This window comes from Homo sapiens, chromosome 18, assembly GCF_000001405.40.
Source record: "Homo sapiens chromosome 18, GRCh38.p14 Primary Assembly".
NCBI classification, from domain to species: domain Eukaryota; kingdom Metazoa; phylum Chordata; class Mammalia; order Primates; family Hominidae; genus Homo; species Homo sapiens.
Window position 1 is genome coordinate 50,352,030 of NC_000018.10, and position 23,001 is coordinate 50,375,030.

Sequence of the window (23,001 nt, forward strand, 5' to 3'; positions counted from 1 at the left end):
AAAGACTTTAATTTGAACTCCTCAACATTTCCACTCAAAAGCAGAATGCAAAACGGTCTTTGAATGTGCTGAATCCTGGCATTGTCTTGGACTCTTCATAAATGTGTGTATGCTCTGACATATACTCCTAGAACAACCTCATTTCATCAACATTAAATATTGGTTCTGGAAAATATTTCTTGTCTATAATTATCCTGTGCAGCTCTTCCTTAAAAGCTTTAGCACCTTCAGTATTGGCACTTGCTGCCTCACCACTGGCCTCACATTATGAAAATTATGACACTTTTTGAAGCGTTGGAACTACCCATGACTTGCTGTAAACATTTGCATATATCTAGGATCATCTGCATATTCTTTTAATGTGTTGAAAAGACTTCTTGCCTTAGCCTGGATCATCAGTAGGTTAAATGGTATGTTCGTCTCTATCTGGTTTTCCATCCCGATGACAAATAATTTTTTTTCATATAATCAGTTAGCCCAGCTCTTTCCTTTGTGATGAGAGTGGATTTAACCAATATTGATAATTTCACTGCATTAGTTATTTGCTTCTTATCCTTTAAGATGGTTGAGATTGTCAATTGTGAAGGTTCTAACATGTGCAGTGGCCATTACTGGCTTAATGCCTTTATGCTGGGCAATTAAGTAAAATTTTACCTTAAAGAGTAATTGTGGCTGGGCATGGTGGCTCATTCCTGTAATCTCAGTGCTTTGGGAAGCCAAGGTGGGTAGGTCGCTTGAGTCTAGGAGTTCGAGACCAGCCTGGGCAACATGGTGAAACCCTGTCCCTACAAAAAAATTAGCTGGCATGGTGGCATGCACCTGTAGTCTCAGCTACTCTGAAGGTGAGATGGGAGGATCGCTTGTGCCTGGGAGGCAGAGATTGCAGTGAGCCATGATTGCGCCCACCGCACTCCAGCCCGGGCAACAGAGCTAGACCCTGCCTCAAAAAAAAAGGTAATTGCTTTCTTCTTCTTCTTCTTTCTTCTTCTTCTTCCGTCTTCTTCCTTCTTCCTCCTTCCTTCTTTCTTCTTCTTTTCTTCTTTCTTCTTCCTTCTCCTTATCCTTCTTCTTCTTTTTCTTCCTTCTTCTTCTTTCTTCTTCTTCCTCCTCTTCTTCTTCTTCGAAGCAGGAGACACAGATGGACATTTTGTATACATGATGGTTTACAAAAACACAAAATTATTTGCAACACAGTACACCTTAGAGTATCAGTTGTTTACCCTTGTGATCATGTGGCTGACCAGGAGCTGTGGTTTGCTGCCACTGCCCAGCACCAAGAAAGATTATTGTGTCTTATATTGCTAGCCCTGGAAAAGATCAAAACTCAAAATTCAAAATATAATTTCTACTGAATGCATATTGCTTACACACTATCATAAAGTCAAAAAATTATAAGTTGAACCATCCGTAGAATTCTCTGTGTACATTTCAGAATGACTACTTTCTCCTCCCCATGCCAGAAACATGGGGAGATTTTTTTTTAATTCTCATTGTGAGAACTTAGTAGGGATACTGAAGACAAAATGTACGATTGTGTGGGACCCCTTAAGACTTGACCTTTGAGAGGTCAAGTTTGTCCACACTGAAACTCCAGCAATTTATCCATTATAGTTTATGTTTTCCTACCCTGGTACTGGCTCCAGCAATGATTTCACTCCCAACTTGGGAAGCAGTGGTTAGCCCTGTGACCTCAATTATCTGATGGAGCTACAAAAAATGGTTAATTTTCAGTTTTTTCAGCTTTTTACTTGTTGTGAAAATGGGAATGACAACTTCCAACCTCCTTACAAGACAAACTGGCAACTTCAATCTGGGATTTTTATATACTAGAATTTACAACCAATAATAATTATTATTATAGTAATAATAGCAAATTAGTATTTGCCAGATATATAAATTCTTAAATGTATTAACTCAATTAATTCTCACAGCTACCTTGTGAGATTGGTATTATTGTTATTTACATTTGAGGATGAGAAAATTGGGACACAGAGAGGATATGTATTTACTAGAGTTTTGATTAGATCCTTTCAGATTTAGACAGAAGTGATTGACACTAAAAAACAGACACTGATATTTCATAATGGTGTTATATGCCAGGCATTGTTTTAGTTCTCTAAACATAATAACTCAATAAACTTCAACAATATTAAGAGGTAGTGACTTTTGATAAAAAGAAAACATGAGTCCATACATCCAAGTTGCTGAGCAAACTCCACGAAGGATAAACTCAAAGGGATACATACCAAGACATACTATAATAAACCTCTCAAAAGACAAAGACAGACAGAGAATCTTGAAAGCAGCAAGGAATAATTGACTCATGATGTACAAAGGATCCTTGATAAGTTTAACAGCCAATTTATCATCAGAAGCTAGGTCGGCCAAAAGACAGTAGATTACATATTTAAAGTGCTGAAATAAAAAAAAAAAAGCTGTCAACCAAAAATTCTATATGTGGCTAAATTCTACTGCAGAAATGAAGCAAAAATTAAGATATCCCTATTAAAGTTGAGAGAGTTCATCACTAGCCAACCTGCCCTACAAGAACTATTAAAAAGAGTTCTCCAGGATGAAAAGACGTAAGATTGGAGTTAGAAGGCATACAAAGAAATAAAGCTGGGCATGGTGGATCATGCCTATAATCTCAGTATTTTGAGAGGCTGAGGTGGGAGGATCACTTGAGCTCAGGAGTTCAAGACCAGCCTGGGCAACATAGGGAGACCCCATCTCTGCAAAAAATAGAAAAATTAACCAGGCATGGTAGCACATCCCTGTGGTCCCAGCTACTTTGGAGGCTAAAGTGGGAGGATTGCTTGAGCCTGTGAAGTTGAGGCTGCAGTAAGTCAAGATCATGCAATGCTACTGTAGTTCAGCCTGGGTGCAAGTCCTTGCCTAAAAAACAAACAAACAGACAGACAAAAAACCCAATGTAGTTACTTTTACCAGAGTAGTTCTTTCTTTCTTTTTTCTTTTCCTTAAAGAACTACTCTGGTAAAGGTAACTACATTGGTAAATACAAAAGCCACTATTATGTTTTTGCCTTGTAAATTTTCTTTTTGTTTCATATATAATTTAAAAGACAAATGCATAAAATTATTATAAATATGTGTTAATGGGAGACAATGTATAAAGATGTAATTTAGGAAGAGACAGCTGTATAGGAGCAGAGTTTTTGTATATTATTAAAGCTAACCTGATACAAATTTCAATTACAGTATTGAAATTTCTTCATAATGATAATAATTGTAATTATTTCTCAGTACCTGCACATTCTGTACCTGAGGATTTGACCAACCAAAGGTCAAAAATATTTGAAAAAAATCAACACAGATAATATGACTAGAAATCATATGGATTTGAAAAATAGTACAGCATAACCGCTATTCATATAACATTTACATTTTATTAGGCATTGTAAGTAATCTAGAGATGGTTTAAAGTATACAGGAAGATGTGTGTACATTATATGCAAATACTACACCATCTTATATATAGACTTGAGCATCTGAGGATTTGGGGTCCAAGGGAGGTCCTGGAACCAACCTTCCATAGATACAGAGAGATAACTATTGATTATTTTAAAAAAAAGTTAGGATGTTAATTGAAAGTACATGGCAGCTCCTAAGAAAATAATTTTTAAATATTCAGAAAAGAAAATTAGGAGGAAATCCAAACTTTGTATTAGAAAAAAATCAATTAAACAAGAAAGCAATATTGAAAGAATTGGGGGGAAAACATAACAAATATATAAAACTAAGAGCAAAGTAGCAAAAGTAAATCTTTCCTTATCAGTAATCACTTTAAATATAAATAACTGAAACTCACCAGTTAAAAGACAAAAACTGGCAGGATGGATTAAAAAATAAAAGCATGTTGTCTGCCCACAAGAGACTAACTTTAGGTCCAAAGATACAAATAGGCTGAAAATAAACAGACAGAAAATGATATTCCACACAAATAGTTGCCAAAACAGAGCTGGTATAACTACACTAATATCAGATGAAATAGACATGAAGTTAAAATTACAAAAGACAAGCAAATTCACTATTCATTGATAAAGGGTCAATTTATCAAGAAGATGTAACAATAATAAACATATATGCACTGCTATGATTTGGGCATGGTTTTGCTGTTGTTGTTGTTCCTGCCAAAGCTCGTGTTGAAACTTGATTCCCAATGTGGTAGTGTTGGGAGGTGGGGCCTAGTGGGAAGTGTTTGGGTCATAAGGGCAGATCCCTCATGAATGGCTTGGTGCTGTTCTCAAGATAGTCAGTGAGTTCTTCCTATTTTAAGACTGGATCTGGATTAGTTCTCACAGGAATTGATTAGTTTCTACAAGTGTGGTTGTTACAAAGCCAGGTCACCCCTCATGTTTCTCTTTCTTCACACGTCTGCTTCCTCTTTGCCCTTCTCTGTCATGTTGTGACTCAGCACAGAAGCCCTTGCCAGAGCCAGGGTCATGCCATTGAGATCCTCAGCCTGCAGAACCATGAGCTAAATAAAACTCTTTTCTTTATAAATTACCCAGTCTCAGGTATTCTTTTATAGCAACACAAAAGGGACTGAGACATGCACCAAACAACAGAACTCCAAAATGTATGAAGCCAAAAAAATGACAGACTTGAAGGGAGAAATAGACAGTTCTGCAATGCAGTGGGTTGACATCCTGGGACTGCTGCTCCTGGTGGTAGGGGTTGACAGGACAAGCTATCTGCCCACATGGTGCTCACGGACTAGCAGAGGAGGCAGTGACAACTGCTGTGAAATAGTAGTGAGTGTTAAGAAGAAAGATGGGGAGAGGCACGTTAGGCAGAGTGAGGAAGTGAGAGAGATAAGGCAGGAGGGGTGTTGCAGAGCAGGTGAGAGAGGGGTATCCTAAGCAGGTGGCATTGGCAGAGAAGGCTGGGAATGGTCTACACATCCCATGTTTGTTTCTGAGTGGTGGGATAATGAATTTTTTGTTTTATTCTTTATATTTTTCTGTGTGTGTGTGTGTGTGTGTGTGTGTGTGTGTGTGTGTTTGAGACAGGGTCTCTCTTTGTCACTCAGGCTGGAGTGCAGCAGCACAATCTCTACTCACTGCAGCCTCCACCTCCTGGGTTCAAGTGATTCTCGTGCCTCAGCCTCCTGAGTAGCTGGGATTACAGGTGTGTACCACCACAGCTGGCTAATTTTTAAATTTTTTATAAAGTCAGGGTCTCACTATGTTGCCCAGGATAACATTTTCAATTAAAAACATGTGCTACTTTGATTTTCAGAAAAAGGGAGTGCTTAAAAAGAGAGCGAAAGTTCAACTTCATAAACTTGAAGAGCACTGCTGACTTCCTACCTGTGGCCACGTAGTCCTAGCTGCGTTTTTCTGGTGGCTTCCAGAAGAATGGCACTGCCCTGCCACCTTGTGGCCATGTGGCAAGTAAACCTTCCAGCCAGCATTACAATAAAGCCAAAATCTGTTTTCTCACGTTTGAGGAAGATGACAAATATTCAGCATTCTAAGTAAGCTATGATTTGGATGGAGCTTTATTGATAGCACTCAGAGATAACGTGTTCTGCTTTATGGTAATACTTCATCCTTTTGGCATCATCAAGAAACAGCCTCTCTACTCAAAGCTTAACTCTTAAGGACCTACATAAAGATTATCTGAACATTCTTATTCATTTCTTACAGAGTGTATTGAACACAAAAACCTTTCCTTTAGAGCTCATGATTTTTAAAAACAATATCTCCTCAATGCAAAGATAAGTTCAATCCATCACCAGGAAGAGCCCAGGCTTAGCTCATAGGAAATACAAGTGAATCCAGGGATGGTGGAGAATTTTTTTTTTCTTTTTCTTTTGTTATTTATTTATTTGTTTGAGACAGGGTCTTTCTCTGTCAACCAGGCTGGAGTGCAGTGACACCATCATGGCTTACTGCAGCCTCATCCACCTGGGCTCAAGCGATCCTCCCATCTCAGCCTCCTGAGTAGCTGTGACTACAGGTGCGTGCCACCACTCCTGACTAATGTTTGTATTTTTTTTAAGAGACCTGGTTTCACCATGGTCCCCAGGCTGGTCTTGAACTCCTGAGCTCAAGCAATACGCTGGTAGGGCTTTTTCTTATTGTTACCCTCTGTATTGATTTGTTCAGGTTGCCAAAACAAAGTACCACAAACTGAGTGGCTTCTTACACAACAGAACTTTATTGTCCACAGCGCTGGAGGTAAGAAGTTTGAAATCAAGGTATTGGCAGGGGTTGTTTCCTCTGAGGGGAAGGTCTGCTCCAAGCCTCTCTCCTTGGCTTGTATGGCCATCTTCTCCCTGCCTGTTCACATCACCATCCTCTCTGCATGTCTTCATGTCCAAATTTCCTCTTTTTTGTAAAGACAATAGTCATATTGGTTTAGGGCCCAGCAAATGACCTCATTTTAACTTGATTACCTCTGTAAAGATCCTATCTGCAAATAAGTCACATTTTGAGGTATTGGGGGTTAGGACTTTGAAATATGAATGTGGGGTGAGCACAGTTCAACTCCTGACACCCCTCCTGGTGTTGCATTTCAGTAGAAGACCAGTGAGCCTCAGGTAGGAACCTGGAAAGCCCCACCGTCTTGTTTCCTCCCATCTTCCCTTTCTTTTCCCTCAATGGCTTTCAACTCTGATTCACATTAGAATTATCCAAGGAGTTTTTAAATTTCTGATTCTGAACCCCACCCCTAGACCAACTAAATCAGAAGAAAACTCGCAGGGAAACTTAATCCAAGAAGGGATCAAGGAAGGCTTCCAATGGGAGGGGATTCGTTCACTACATTTTGAAAAATGAATGGATGATTGAGATAGAGAATAATGAGAGGTGTAGAAAGAACATCATAACCAAAGACTTAGTGGGGTCAGACAACATGGGTGGGCTGGCAGGGCTTGTGTGTGTCCTGATGGCAGAGGGAGGGGTGGGGGGTCACACACAGGGGCACAGGAGCAACCCTACAGGCAGCTGTTGCTGTGAGATAAACGTCCAAGCAGGAGGTGCTGAAAGATGAAGCTGATGAGGCAGGCAGGGGCCAAATCAAGAGAGGATGTGTGCCTCATGCAAAGAAGCCTGGGTTTCCACATCAGCATTTCAGAAAGGGAGCTGCCATCACCCCCAAGCTCACTACTGACCATAATGTCAGGTGTGGCTGCCCTCCTGTCAACTGCATCACCATTGTGATTCTACTTTCATAAGCAATGACAAGTGTGAGTTCACTGTTACGACAAAGGATGTCGTTGCCAATTCTGAAGCTGCTGTGGATGGCAGTGAGGCAGGATAGAGTGGAAGAGGCAAGACCAGGAGCTGGGCAAGACCAGTGAAGTATAATGGATGGCAGAGAGGTGTAGACCCTAGTCAGGAGGACAGACAGTTAAGAAATGCATTGGGTGGACCGGGCGCGGTGGCTCATGCTCATAATCCTGCACTTTGGGAGGCTGAGGTGGGCAGATCACCTGAGGTCGGGAGTTTGAGACCAGCCTGACCAATGTGCAGAAACCCTGTCTCTACTAAAAATACAAAATTAGCTGAGCATGGTGGCACATGCCTGTAGTCCCAGCTACTCAGGAGGCTGAGGCAGGAGAATCGCTTGAACCTGGAAGGAGGAGGTTGCAGTGAGCCAAGATCCTGCCATTACACTCCAGCCTGGCAAACAAGTGCAAAACTCTGTCTCAAAAAAAAAAAAAAAAAGAAAAAGAAAAAAAAAGAAATGCATTGTGTGGAGTGGGGCTCGGGGGTGAGGTGACCAGCTTGCCTCTTCCACTCTATCCTGCCTTACTGCCATCCACAGCAGCTTCGGAATTGGCAACCACATCCTTTGTCATAACAGTGAACTCACACTTGTCACTGCTTATGAAAGTAGAATCACAGTGGTGATGTTCCTGCCCAGGCACTGAGGTGAAGTGAATGGTTTGGCAACAGGGTACAAGCGAAAATGCAGAGGTGAAAATCTGGGCCTTGGAACAGCTTCATCAAGTCTGGCAAGGGAGACCCAATCCACTCAACTGCAGAATGTGCATGTGACCACTACATGGTGAACAGAGTACTGAGCTTTGCTGCTCTACCAACCATCATGGTAGGGGCACACATTCTACTCCCCTGAATGTAGCCAGGCTCTGGGGAGCTCATTTGCAGCTTTGACTCATTCTGGGCAGCCTCAATTTTTCTCAAACACCAATTGCATCTGGGAAGGTGAATTCACTGTGCCTAGGTTTGTCCCCTCTGCTATAACAGTGATGCAATGTCACGTGAAAGATTCCTATCATAATTTAACCATTTTCTAAATTATCTGGGAAGTTTATTTGGAGGTTTGGGAGTGCTCTAATGATGTATGATAAATCTTTGATGCAAAGATCTACAATCTTGCAATTTACTATAAGCATCTTTGAAGTACATGTTATTAATTTAACCTTATATAAAGGTTATATACAGAATCTGTACCTCAGTATGCTTAGTTGTATCCACATAGAGGACTTCTAAAACACCAAAACTGCCTCATTATACATTATATAGACTTGCACATCATAATGGCAGTTAATAAAATGAAATTCTGTGTTTTCCTTTTTATAGTTAAATTTTTCCTTAAAAAAAATAACTTTCAGGAGATAAGCAAGAAAAATGCCTTGGCCTGGGAGATTAAAACCTATCTGGCAAAATGAAAACATTGATGTAAATGACATGAAAATGGTTCTGTCTGGCTTTGCTGTGGCCCGTTATTAGAGATCAGATTGGCAGCTGCTTCCACAACTAATTGATTCTAGGAAATTTGGCAAGCCTTATACTTCTCTATCTCAGAAACTGGACAACTGCCCACTTTGTAAATACCAACGTAACAATATCCTTTAAAGTGCTTAAAATGCATTGGGAAAAATCCCTATCAAATAAAAGATATACTTATGTAACTTATTATAGTACTTGATTTCAAATATTTATATGTAAAATACTAATGACTGTTCTGATAAATACTTTATCAAATTCACAAAGTATGTCAGTATGTGAACAGCATAATCTAAAGGCTTGTGCTGGTGTCTTCCATTTGCCCCCTAAGATCCACTCTCTGTGGTTTTCCAGCCAGTCCTGGACCCAGTGGGGGAATGTGGGTGCTGACCTAGGGTTTCCTTTGCCTTCTGGCTTCAGGTTGGGTTCAGCCAACCAGTGTAGGGTTATCAGCAAAAGATCCATAGGTGGGAGGAGAATGGAGGCAGGTATTTATTCTCCCCATGAGTGTTCTCTGAATTGATACTGAAGGCCATAGTTCCTGTCAGGTGACCCATTCCATAGACCCCTCACCCCATGACCTTCAATCTTTGTGCTTAGAGGTAATAATAACTGTTCCCTGAGATTGCAAGCCCCAGAGAACTCCATCATCATTTGCTATCTTCTGTAAACTACCCATATATTTTAAATATTTCTTTTTATTAAATTCTCCTCCAGTGATCCAAATTGAATTTTCCACCTTGAATGGTAACAGTGCTTTTACTCTTTTCCTTTGTGTTGAAAAGGAAGCATGGGCAAAAGGTGCTGAAATACAATCTCTGCTTATTAAAACAAACAAATAAACAAAAAAAAAAACAAGCAATTCAGTACCACAAAGCTGCTATGTTAATACATCTCTTTTTCCTTCTTTTTCTTTTTTTTTTTTTTTTTTTGAGACAGTCTCCCTTTGTTGCCTGCGTTGGAGTGAAGTGGCGCGACTCAGCTCACTGCAACATCCACTTCCCAGGTTCAAAGGATTCTCGTGCCTCAGCCTCCGAAGTAGCTGGGACTACAGGCATGCGCCACCAGGCCTGGCTAATTTGTTTTTTTTTTTTTTGTATTTTTAGTACAGATAGGGTTTCACCATGTTGCCCAGGGTGGTCCTGAACTCCTGAGCTCAGGCAATCAGCTTGCCTTGGCCTACTGAAGTGTTAGGATTACAGGTATGAGCCCCACACCCAGCCTCCTTTTCTTTAAACAGAAGGCAGTGCTCCAATTTCCAGTCAGCTCTGAATCACTCTTTATTGTTGTTTTTTAAAATTTTTTTAAAAAATAGAGATGGGGGGTCTCGCTATGCTGGCCAGGCTGGTCTCAAACTCCTGGTCTCAAGCAATCCACCCATCTCAGCCTCCCCGAGTGCTGGAATCACAGGCATGAACCACCATGCCCAGTCTCTAAGTCACTCTTGAGGTCAGTGCACCTATAGCCTGTGAGGGTTTGTGGGATTATTCAGATATTGTTATTGCTTGGGTTGGACATTTTATACCCCCTTATGCAGCAGCCATCCTCTAACGTGAACTAGAAGGAGGAAAGTTTTTCTTTTTTTTTTTTTGAGACAGAGTTTCACTCTTGTTGCCCAGGCTGGAGTGCAATGGCACAATCTCAACTCACTGCAACCTGAAGGAGGAAAGTTTTTCTTACTATAATTGGACATCGTTAAATAAATTTTGTTGTGTGTGTCTTTGTTCCTTCCCCCCTTATTTTATCCTCTTATTCTCTAAACACATTCTGTCACATTAAAATGCTAGACACTAACAGCTGGAGACATAAAAGTTTAGCCTTTCATAGTAAAACAAAAAAATTATATGTATGTGCTATAGACTGAATTGTGTTTCCCAAAAATTCACATGTTGAAGCCCTAACTTCCAACATGACTGACTTTGGAAATACAGCTTTTAGGAGGTAATTAAAGTTAATGAGGTCTCAAGAGTGGGGCTTATAGGATTAGTGGCCTTATATGAAGAGGAAGATCTCTCTCTCTCTCTCTCTCTCTGTTCACCACGTGAAGACACAATGACAGCTACCTGGAAGTCAGGGAGTGGGCCCTTATCAGGAACTCAGTCAGCTGGCACCTTGATCTTGGACTTCCCAGCCTCTAAGACAGTGAGAAATAAATGTTTGTTGTTTAAGCCACCCAGTCTATGATATTTTCTTATAGCAGCCTGAGCTAAGACAGTGTGTGCCTCACTTATGTCTATTGAAAATACAGGCCAGGTGCAGTGGATCATGCCTGTAATCCCAGCACTTTCGGAGGCTGAGGAGGGAGGATCGCTTGAGTACAGGAGTTTGAGACCAGCTTAGGTAACACAGTGAGATCTCGTCTCTATTTATAAAAAATAAAGTAATTAAATAATTTTTAAAAAGGAAAATACAGAAAACATCCTATAATGTCATAGCAATGTGTGTTACCTGATTGGCATATTTACTTCTTGTCCAAACTCCCTTTTTTGTTTGTTTTTTGTTTTTTTCTTTTTAGAGATAAGGTCTTGCTCTGTCACTCAGGCTGGAGTCCAGTGGCACAATCATAGTTCACTGTAACCTTGAACTCTTGGGCTCAAGCAATCCTCCCACCTCAGCCTTCTGAGGTGGGACTGCAGGTGCATGCCACCCAGGTAATTTTTTTTACATCCAGCTAATTATTAAATTTTGTTTTTTGTAGAAATTGGGTCTCACTGTATTGACCAGGCTGGTCTTGAACTGCTAGCCTCAAGTGATCCACTTGCCTCAGCCTCCCAAAGTGCTGGGGTTACAGGTGTGAGCCACTGCACCCAGCCCAAACTTCCTTCTTTATAAAAATTCATGCTGATTTACTTCCTTATTAAAATGATAGATGCTTACAAATAAAAACTCAGAGTGCATAAAAATGCAAAAATGAAAATAAAAATCACACCACATCCCATTGCTGAGAATTAATCGTAGTTATTAGTTGAGCACCATTTGACAGAACATTTTTTAAAATCACGTATGTGATTAAAGAAATACCTAGAGAGGAGGAAATACTTTTGTAAAAATGGGGCCATATGATAACTGTTTCATTGTTTGTTATTTGCCCTGAGGACCATTTTCAGAGGCTTCAAGTCATTGCTTTTTAATACTTTTAATGCTTTTTAATAATTTCACTGGGGATAGAATCAGCAGAGGTCCTCAAGCTGTCATGCCAGAAGTCAATCTGTCAGGCAAATTAAAACAAATTTGAAGTTTGTTTTAATCCCAGGAGGACTATTCTTGGTTATCTCTTGTTTCTCTCTGGTGAACTAGATGGTTTTGTTCTGATTAATTAAGAGGAGATACCAACCTCCTCGTTTGCTTTACACCAAAATCTCCATTGTTTTCAAGGCACCCTTAGGCTTGAACGTCCCTACACCCTGTCTCAAAGTCAGTTCCTTTCTGCAGAACTTCAGGACTCTCTGTTCTTAAATGCTATCTCTCTCCTCATGGGCAGAACGTTTGAACCAGTACTGTGGTGCTGGATGAGGATAGTGGCTGCTGGTCTTTTTAGCTTGCCTATCTTGGCATGGAACCTCTGCTCAATGAGTGAGCTGCAGCAGGGGTGATTGGGACCATGGTAGTCTTGTTCTGCCAAGCCTAGGGTAGAGCCTCTATCCTGCGAGTAGGGGCTAGGTAGACAAGGGAGTCCCCAACCTTTGGCCACACTCAGCAGAAATTTAGCTATCTTATTCCATTCAGGCTGCTGTAACAGAATACCACAGACTGGGGGCATATATACCACATAAATTTATTTTTCACACTTCTGAAGGCTTGGAAGTCAAAGATCAAGGTGCTAGCATATTCAGTGTCTGGTGAGAGCCTGATTCCTGGTTGATAGATGGCTGTATATGGCAGAATGACCTCACATGGCAGAGGGGTGCAGCAGTTCTTTGGGGTACCTTTTATAAGAGCACTAATCCCATTCATAAGGTGTGCCCGCATGACCCAATAACCTCCCAAAGGGCTTGTGTTCTAATAACATCACCTTAGTGGTTAGGTTTCAAAATAAGAATTTGAGGAGGGACATAAACATTCATTCTACAGCATAAGCCTTGAGAAACAAAGTTGAGTGTTCTAATATAAAGAGAGAGGTGTAAGCTGTACCATTTTCTATGAACTAGCCTTGGAATTCACAAAATATTGCTTTTGAAATAGTCTATTCATTGGCAATGATGAACTAAGGCCAGACTTTTTATTTTTATTTATTTATTTTTATTACACTTCAAGTTCTAGGGTACATGTGCACAACGTGCAGGTTTGTTACATATGTATACATGTGCCATGTTGGTGTGCTGCACCCATTAACTCGTCATTTACATTAGGTATATCTCCTAATGCTATCCCTCCCTCCTCCCCCAACCCCACAACAGGCCCTGGTGTGTGATGTTCCCCACCCTGTGTCCAAGTGTTCTCATTGTTCAATTACTACTTATAAGTGAGAACATACGGTGTTTGGTTTTCTGTCCTTGGGATAGTTTGCTCAGAATGATGGTTTCCAGCTTCATCCATGTCTCTACAAAGGACATGAACTCATCATTTTTTATGGCTGCATAGTATTCCATGGTGTATATGTGCCACATTTTCTTAATCCAGTCTATCATTGATGGACATTTGGGTTGGTTCCAAGTCTTTGCTATTGTGAATAATGCCACAGTAAACATACGTGTGCATGTGTCTTTATAGCAGCATGATTTATAATCCCAGTAATGGGATGGCTGGGTCAAATGGTATTTCTGGTTCTAGATCCTTGAGGAATCGCCACACTTGTCTTCTACAACAGTTGAACTAGTTTACAGTCCCACCAACAGTGTAAAAGTGTTCCTATTTCTCCACATCCTCTCCAGCATCTGTTTCCTGACTTTTTAATGATCGCCATTCTAACTGGTGTGAGATGGTATCTCATTGTGGTTTTGATTTGCATTTCTCTGATGGCCAGTGATGATGAGCATTTTTTTATGTGTCTGTTGGCTGCATAAATATCTTCTTTTGAAAAGTGTCTGTTCATATCCTTCACCCACTTTTTGATGGGGTTGATTTTTTCCTATAAATTTGTTTAAGTTCTTTGTAGATTCTGGATATTAGTCCTTTCCAGATGGGTAGATTGTGAAAATTTTCTTCCGTTCTGTAGGTTGCCTGTTCACTCTGATGGTGGTTTCTTTTGCTGTGCAGAAGCTCTTTAGTTTAATTAGATCCCATTTGTCTATTTTGGCTTTTGTTGTCATTGCTTTTGGTGTTTTAGGCAGGAAGTCCTTGCCCATGCCTATGTCCTCAATGGTATTGCCTAGGTTTTCTTCTAGGGTTTTTATGGTTTTAGGTCTAACATTTAAGTCTTTAATTCATCTTGAATTAATTTTTGTATAAGGTGTAAGGAAGGGATCCAGTTTCAGCTTTCTCCATATGGCTAGCCAGTTTTCCCAGCACCATTCATTAAATAGGGAATCCTTTTCCCATTTCTTATTTTTGTCAGGTTTGTCAAAGATCAGATGGTCGTAGATGTGTGATACTATTTCTGAGGGCTCTGTACTGTTCCTTTGGTCTATATCTCTGTTTTAGTACCAGTACCATGCTGTTTTGCTTACTGTAGCCTTGCAGCATAGTTTGAAGTCAGGTCGCGTGATGCCTTCAGCTTTGTTCTTTTGGCTTAGGATTGTCTTGGCAATGCAGGCTCTTTTTTGGTTCCATGTGAATTTTAAAGTAGTTTTTTCCAATTCTGTGAAGAAAGTCATTGGTAGCTTGATGGGGATGGCATTGAATCTATAAATTACCTTGGGCAGTATGGCCATTTTCATGATATTGATTCTTCCTATCCATGAGCATGGAATATTCTTCCATTTGTTTGTGTCCTCTTTTATTTAGTTGAGCAGTAGTTTGTAGTTCTCCTTGAAGAGGTCCTTCACATCCTTTGTAAGTTGGATTCCTAGGTATTTTATTCTCTGAAGCAACTGTGAATGGCAGTTCACTCATGATTTGGCACTCTGTTTGTCTGTTATTGGTGTATAGGAATGTTTGTGATTTTTGCAGATTGATTTTGTATCCTGAGACTTTGCTGAAGTTCCTTACCAGCTTAAGGAGATTTGGGGCTGAGACAATGGGGTTTTCTAAATATACAATCATGTCATCTGCCAACAGGGACAATTTGATGTCCTCTTTTCCTAATTGAATACCCTTTATTTCTTTCTCTTGCCTGATTGTCCTGGCCAGAACTTCCAACACTATGTTGAATAGGAGTGGTGAGAGAGGGCATCCCTGTCTTGTGCCAGTTTTCAAAAGGAATGCTTCCAGTTTTTGCCCATTCAGTATGATATTGGCTGTGGGTTTGTCATAAATAGCTCTTATTATTTTGAGATATGTTCCATCAATACCTAGTTTATTGAGAGTTTTTAGCATGAAGCGCTGCTGAATTTTGTCAAAGGCCTTTTCTGCATCTATTGAGATAATAATGTGGTTTTTGTCTTTGGTTCTGTTAATATGATGGATTACGTTTATTCATTTGCATATGTTGAACCAGCCTTGCATCCCAGGGGTGAAGCCAACATGATTGTGGTGGATAAGCTTTTTGATGTGCTGCTGGATTCGGTTTGCCAGTATTTTATTGAGGATTTCTGCATGGATGTTCATCAGGGATATTGGTCTAAAATTCTCTTTTTTTGTTGTGTCTCTGCCAGGCTTTGGTATCAGGATGATGCTGGCCTCATAAAATGAGTTAGGGAGGATTCCCTCTTTTTCTATTGATTGGAATAGTTTCAGAAGGAATGGTACCAGCTTCTCTTTGTACCTCTGGTAGAATTCAGCTGTGAATCTGCCTGGTCCTAGACTTTTTTTGGTTGGTAGGCTATTAATTATTGCCTTAATTTCAGAGCCTGTTATTTGTCTATTCAGGGATTCAACATCTTCCTGGTTTAGTCTTGGGATGGTGTATGTGTCCAGGAATTTATCCATTTCTTCTAGATTTTCTAGTTTATTTGCATAGAGGTGTTTATAGTATTCTCTGATGGTAGTTTGTATTTCTTTGGGATTGGTAGTGATATCCCCTTTATCATTTTTTATTGCATCTATCTGATTCTTCTTTTCTTCTTTATTAGTCTTGCTGGTGGTCTATCAATTTTGTTGATCCTTTCAAAAAACCAGCTCCTGGATTCATTGATTTTTTGAAGGGTTTTTTGTGTCTGTATCTCCTTCAGTTCTGCTCTGATCTTAGCTATTTCTTGCCTTCTGCTAGCTTTTGAATGTGTTTGCTCTTGCTTCTCTAGTTCTTTTTGTTGTGATGTTAGGGTGTCAATTTTAGATCTTTCCTGCTTTCTTTTGTGGGCATTTAGTGCTATAAATTTCCCTCTACACACAGCTTTAAATGTGTCTGAGAGATTCTGGTATGTTGTGTCTTTGTTTTCATCGGTTTCAAAGAACATCTTTATTTCTGCTTTCATTTCATTATATACCCAGTAGTCATTCAGGAGCAGGTTGTTCAGTTTCCATGTAGTTGAGTGGTTTTGAGTGAGTTTCTTAATCCTGAGTTCTAATTTGATTGCACTGTGGTCTGAAAGACAGTTTGTTATAATTTCTGTTCTTTTACATTTGCTGAGGAGTGCTTTACTTCCAACTATGTGGTCACTTTTGGAATAAGTGTGATGTGGTGCTGAGAAGAATGTATATTCTGTTGATTTGGGGTGGAGAGTTCTGTAGATGTCTATTAGGTCTGCTTGGTGTAGAGCCGAGTTCAATTCCTGGATATCCTTGTTAACTTTCTGTCTCGTTTATCTGTCTAATGTTGACAGTGGGGTGTTAAAGTCTCCCATTATTATTGTGTGGGAGTCTAAGTCTCTTTGTAGGTCTCTAAGGACTTGCTTTATGAATCTGGGTGCTCCTGTACTGGGTGCATATAAATTTAGGATAATTAACTCTTCTTGTTGAATTGATCCCTTTACCATTATGTAATGGCCTTCTTTGTCTCTTTTGATCTTTGTTGGTTTAAAGTGTGTTTTATCAGAGACTAGGATTGCAACCCCTGCTTTTTTTGTTTTCCATTTGCTTGGTAGATCTTCCTCCATCCCTTTATTTTGAGCCTATGTGTGTCTCTGCATGTGAGATGGGTCTCCTGAATACAGCACAGTGATGGGTCTTGACTCTATCCAATTTGCCAATCTGTGTCTTTTAATTGGAGCATTTAGCCCATTTACGTTTAATATTTTTATGTGTAATTTGATCCTGTCATTATGATGTTAGCTGGGTATTTTGCTTGTTAGTTGATGCAGTTTCTTCCTAGCATCGATGGTCTTTACAATTTGGCATGTTTTTGCAGTGGCTGTTACCAATTGTTCCTTTCCATGTTTAGTGCTTCCTTCAGGAAGGCCTGGTGGTGACAAAATCTCTCAGCATTTGCTTGTCTGTAAAGGATTTTATTTCTCCTTCACTTATGAAGCTTAGTTTGGCTGGATATGAAATTCTGGGTTGAAAATTCTTTTCTTTAAGAATGTTGAATATTGGCCCCCACTCTCTTCTGGCTTGTAGAGTTTCTGTTGAGAGATCCGCTGTTAGTCTGATGGGCTTCCCTTTGTGGGTAACCTGACCTTTCTCTCTGAGGGCAGCCTATTTTTAAAGGGAAGGGACTTACACTCTACCTCTTGATGGAAGGGCATCAAATAATTTGTGGACACATTTTTAAACCATGACTACATATGCGTAGATACCTAGGGAGCACAATGTTGCAACATGTTACCATTTGAAAATTTTAAGTGAAAGGTGTATGAATATTTGGTATTCTACTCTTTTCATTTTCCTGTAAGTTTGAAATTTTTCAAAATAAAAAGTTGGGGGGAAAATGTTACTCTGCAGTTGTCCAGCCTGATTTTTTTCCCCATTTATAGCCAATTTGCTTTTTGCCTGGATGCTTAAGTAACTCTTTCTTTAAGTTGTATATTCTAGTTATAAAACCTCTCTTAATAAATTTTCCTGGACTGCAATGTGTGTCTCCATCTAGAGGTTCATTTTTTTTCTTCTATGTAATCCCCTTTATTACATCTTCTGAATTCTTCTGTTCCATATTTTGGGGCACTTTGCATTTAGGACACCAATTATCCTCATGTTGGATCATTTCTACATTCTGATTCTGTGGGCTTTGTTGTATTTGCTTTAATTTATTTTCTTTTCAGCTGCATGTATTGTTATGATCTTAAGATTTTCTTTTAACTTAGCTTCCAGTAGTGTCTTTTCTATTCCTTCCAATTTGTACTTCAGTGTGTTGAATGGTGTTGTTTGGATCCTCACTTTGTATTTTTAAGTGTGATGATCTCCATTTATCTGTTTCTGTTGCTGCTGTTTATGTTCTTCTCTATGAGGTCTTATTTTAAATTAGTTAATGTATATATAACGTATATACACAAATACACAGTTTATTACTATTACTTTAATCATGTATTCTCCCAGGTCAGTTTCTTTATCAATCTTTGCAGGGGGTCTTCCTTTCTTGCCTCCCTCTTCATTTCCTTTCTTTGTTAGATGCCCTGAACCAATGTTCTGCTTTTTCACAATTTCAAGGAGTGGTCCATCCCTTTAGGGAATATGCCTAACCTTTAGGTAATTTTCCCAGAGGGAAACTAGAATGAATTAGAGCCATGGCTATGAAGAGAGAAAAAAGAAAGGCTATTTTCCAGTTGTTAATCTTCAGGGTTTCAATTATCAGATATGGGGCTTTTCAAATGACTTCAGGGGTGGTGTGTGATTAGGAGCCAGGCTACTTATCCTCTGTGCTCCAGAATCCTTCATTTTCCTCCCTGATATCACTTTTTAAAGTTTTGCATTCCACTATCTCCCTTTCCTTGTTGGCAATTATTATTGATTTTTTGGGGAGAGGTTTTCTTTTTTTTAAACTGATTTTGGGTGCATCTTGTTAAGAAGTAGGGGAAGAAAAACTGTGAGGCAGTCTCTATTCTTTTAAACTTAGAAGTCCATCTCTTCTACAGCAACATATTTATATTTTTTAAGCAGGCTACAGGAAGAATGAAATACTTTTCACAAGAAAAAGAACCTAGTGTTTTGAGCTGGAAGTGATCTCAGAAACCATCCACTTTTGGGCTGGGGGCAGCAGCTCATGCCTGTAATCCCAGCAGTTTGAGAGGCTGACGGGGGTGGATGACCTGAGGTCAGGAGTTTGAGACCAGCCTGGCCAACATGGCAAAACCCCGTTTCCACTAAAAATACAAAAATTCACTGGGTGTGGTGGCACATGCCTGTAATCCCAGCTACTCAGGAGACTGAGGCAGCAGAATTGCTTGAAACTAGGAGGCAGAGGTTGCAGTAAGCCGTGGTTGCACCACTGCACTCCAGCCTGGGTGATGAAGCAAGACTCCATCTCAGAAAAAAAACAAAACAAAACAAAACAAAACAAAACAAAAAACCATCCACTTTCCAAGTTCACAGAGCCATTTAATGACTGAGGAGAAGGTCTCCATCTTTTTTTTCCATCTTCCCTTGTCTCATGTATGGGTGTCATTTTCGACATCAGAAAGAGAGACTGAGAAAGAAAGAGAGGGAGCGAGAAGTTTTGCATGTTGAGTACTTTCCTTTCCTGCCTCTATTCATATTACAGAGCACTGGGCCTTTGTTAGGGGTAGCTCTGGTGGCACAGAAATTGGGGCTCTGACTACAATGCTAAAAAAGTATATATTGGATAAAGACTCAATATGGTAAAGAAAGAACACCAGGAAAATTGTAAGACATTTTTCTTCTTCCTCTCTTCTCTGGTTTAAAGCAAATAAATCAACCAACACCACAAGAACTACATATCATTTGAGGACATGAGACATTGAAAAAGGGAAGAGTTTGATTTTCTGAAATGATTTGTCTCAGCTGCTATGACTGCTTGTGAGAATTAAGAAATTATCCCAGTGAGTACTGTGTTACAAGTACATGCAATGGATTTTAATTATGTCAGCTGGAAAAAGACTTAAAAACAAGCCAAAGGACTGTAGATTAATAGGAAATGTAAAAATATAATCTGCCTTGGGTCAATTCTGATCAGTGAGGCATCTCAGAATGCACCCCATCTATTTCAGTGGGCCCTCCCTCTTCTGAATGAAGACTTATCAGCACCAGAGATCTATGAAGCTGCCCCAAAACCTATTGGACCAGCTGGTCACTTGTCATTGGTCAAAACATTAGAATAAATGTTTCCCAAAATGCCCAGAAATGCAATCCTGTTGCTTACAGAGATCCTCAATCCTAATTCTACAATGAGGCTCTTAGTTAATTCTGACTTGGGGACATCCAGAAGTTAACCTTGACACCTAGCTGTAAGAAAAAGCACAAAGTAGAAATACAAAAAATAAAAATAAAATCTTTTCTTTCAAAGTCAGCTGGGTATGAAAAATATGAAATTCATAAATAATCTAGAATTGTTCATGTGATGATATAACATGAGGAAATTATACAGTGACGGATACAATTTTCTTCCACCCTCCTAAGGTCTCTGGCCAGAACTGAAATAGTACAGATTAACAAGAGAAAAGCATACAATATTAATAATTTTTTTTACTTGTACATGGGAATCCTCACAAGAAAAATGAAGACCCAAAGATTCAGTTAGAGCTAAATGCTTATATACCATATTGGACAGAGTAGTAAATTGTGAAAATATGACAAGAAAAAGGGGCTTAGATTTGGGCAATGAATCATGGAGAAGTGACTAGGAAGATACCGGTAAGCACAACAAGTTTTGTTTGTACAGATGTCTCTTGTCTTTGACTTCTCATGTCTAGGGATAAGAATGTTTCTTTCCTCTTGGTGTAGTGAGGACATCTCTCACATGGGACTTCCATCTTCTGCTTTCAGGAAGAAAAAGGAAGGCCAGTGTGCCCTTCTTGCACCTGCTGCTTTTTAAGTGCTTTTCACTCAAAAGAATCAATATGCTACAGTGGCATGTTTTGAGGTGGTGTGTTCTGAACTCCTTCCCTACCCAGTATCTATGCTCTCATTCTCCCTTACAAATAGAACTCCTATAGTCTGTTAAAAGAAAAACTTTAGCCTAATTAAATTTAACAGTGTTTACTTGAACAAAGAATGATTCCACCAATCGGGCAGCCTCCCCAGCCGGAGTAGGTTCAGAGACACTTCAGCACAGCCATGTGGTGGAAGATTTATAGACAGAAAAAGGAAGTGATGTACAGAAAAGGAAGTGAGGTATAGCAACAGCTGGATTGGTTACAGTCAGTGTTTGCCTTATTTGAACACGGTTTGAGCAGCTGGCCCCCTTTCATCGGCCATAACTCAGTGACTGGCACAAGAGTAGATTACAGTCTGTTTACACCTTCATTTAGGTTATAGTTTGCGACTTACAGAGAAAACTTTAGGCACAACTTAAAATATGTATGGAGGCAACTTTAGGCTAAACTTAAGTCTCGAGGATGCAATGTAACTGTCAGGCCTCTGAGCCCAAGCTAAGTCATCATATCCCCTGTGACCTGCACGTATACATCCAGATGGCCTGAAGTAACTGAAGAATCTCAAAAGAAGTGAAAATGGCCTGTTCCTGCCTTAACTGATGACATTACCTTGTGAAATTCCTTCTCCTGGCTCATCCTGGCTCAAAAGCTCCCCCACTGAGCACCTGGTGACCCCCACCCCTGCCTGCCAGAGAACAACCCCCTTTGACTGTAATTTTCCTTTACCTACCCAAATCTTATAAAACGACCCCACCCCTATCTCCCTTAGCTGACTGTCTTTTCGGACTCAGCCCGCCTGCACTCAGGTGAAATAAACAGCCTTGTTGCTCACACAAAGGCCAGTTTGGTGGTCTCTTCATACGGACATGAGTGAAAGTAACTGTCCAGATTACATTTTTTACAAAAGATTTTTTTCAGTCTCCTTCGCAGATGGGAGTGACCAGTGAGAAGCAGATGGAAGCCACTGGGTGTGGCTTCCAGCACAACGCTCTCAAAGTGCTGGTTCTGTTGGCAGTTAAGCCTATTACACATGCCTCTTGCTCGTTTCTGCTGCCTGGGAGAAAGACCTGAGGACAGGGGCTGGCAGCCTGAAGGTCCAAGTGCATAATAATAGCGCAGTGGAGCCAAGGGATGGACAGAACCTGGCGGTGCCACCACTCCAGCCTTGGGTGCTTTTCCCTCCTTTTCAACAGGGAGAATTAAACTTTTGTTTTTCTTATTTTAAATTTATATTTGCTCTTAAGTGGCAGGCCAGGTCTCACTAACAGCTGAACAGACAGGCCTCCGTAACCACTGTTTCAGCACTAGTTAAGTTAAATATTAAAAGCTGAAAGAGCCAGTGTCTTTATAGAAAGGCTGGTATGTAACAAAAGCCCACCAAGAGTTTTGCCCAGGCCTTTCCTGGTCCTTGAAGCATGAGAAAATAAAGAAGGAATTCTTAACAGGACCTGTTCAAGATTAAACAAGTTTTTATTGGGGGTCTGAAGAAACTCCCCCAGACCTCCACAAACAAGTTTATCGGGGGTCTGAAGGAACTGCCCAAACCTTCATGATTTAGCAGGAGACAAGATAAGGGTAATCACCTCTGGCACCTGCAGCCATCTAGATTAAGTAAATTTACTTAAATAAAGACCTTCCTTAGGACTGATCTTAGTTATAGATTAGAAACAGTTAATCATTTACGTCTTTACACACATGCACACTTACATGTAGACAGATAGTTTAGAAGGTATATAAGCTCTGGAAAACTTTGTAATTTTGAATCGATTTGGCGATATTTTCCAGGCCTTTTCCCTGTACCCGGTTACCGAAATAAACTCTTCTTTCCCAGTTCATCATGAGAATAAGCAGCCCAACCCCTGGTTTGGCCCGGGAACACTTACAGAGGCTGTCTAAGACCCAGAAGACAGGGTCACTGTTTCTTCCACACAAACTTAGCTGCTCTTTGGAATTTTCTGGGGTGTTTTTATAAATACTAAGGCTTGTGCCTCATTTCCCCAGTGTCTGATTTCACCGACTTGGGGTGTACTCTAGGCACTGAGACTTGTAATAGCTGCCCCTGGTGACTCTAAGGTGCAGCAAATGTCAAAGACCAGGACTTGGTGACGCCAGGTCCCTGGCTGGGCTGCGGTCAAGACTGCATGACCTGCTGAAATCTCCCCAGACTGGTTAGCGCGGAAAGAGCACCTCCGGGTTACCCTTTCGTCCGGAAGCCCCGCCTTCGCCGTCGCCCCGCCTTTCCCCGGCTCGGCCACCCCTCCTTCCCGCCCAGCTGTGGCCCCGGATGACGCAAACCGGGAACAGCGGCTGAGCCTGCGC

At 40.3% G+C, this 23,001-nt stretch overlaps 1 long non-coding RNA gene across 1 annotated transcript, besides 1 other annotated feature; it reads right to left on the reverse strand.

Annotated features, from left to right (window-relative positions):
- Positions 1-1,979: 1,979 nt before the first annotated feature.
- Positions 1,980-22,849, reverse strand: LOC105372114 (uncharacterized). Its single transcript, XR_935466.3, has 3 exons — positions 22,566-22,849; positions 3,829-3,923; positions 1,980-2,415 (listed from the first exon to the last, which is right to left on the reverse strand). It is a non-coding gene; the product is annotated as an uncharacterized LOC105372114 (long non-coding RNA).
- Positions 21,510-21,804: a silencer, noted in NCBI's record as "tiled region #4563; HepG2 Repressive non-DNase unmatched - State 2:TssF". NCBI's record gives its function as "represses a minimal TATA promoter and a strong SV40 promoter by Sharpr-MPRA in HepG2 cells {active_cell/tissue: HepG2}" and the evidence as "EXISTENCE:reporter gene assay evidence [ECO:0000049][PMID:27701403]".
- Positions 22,850-23,001: the final 152 nt, after the last annotated feature.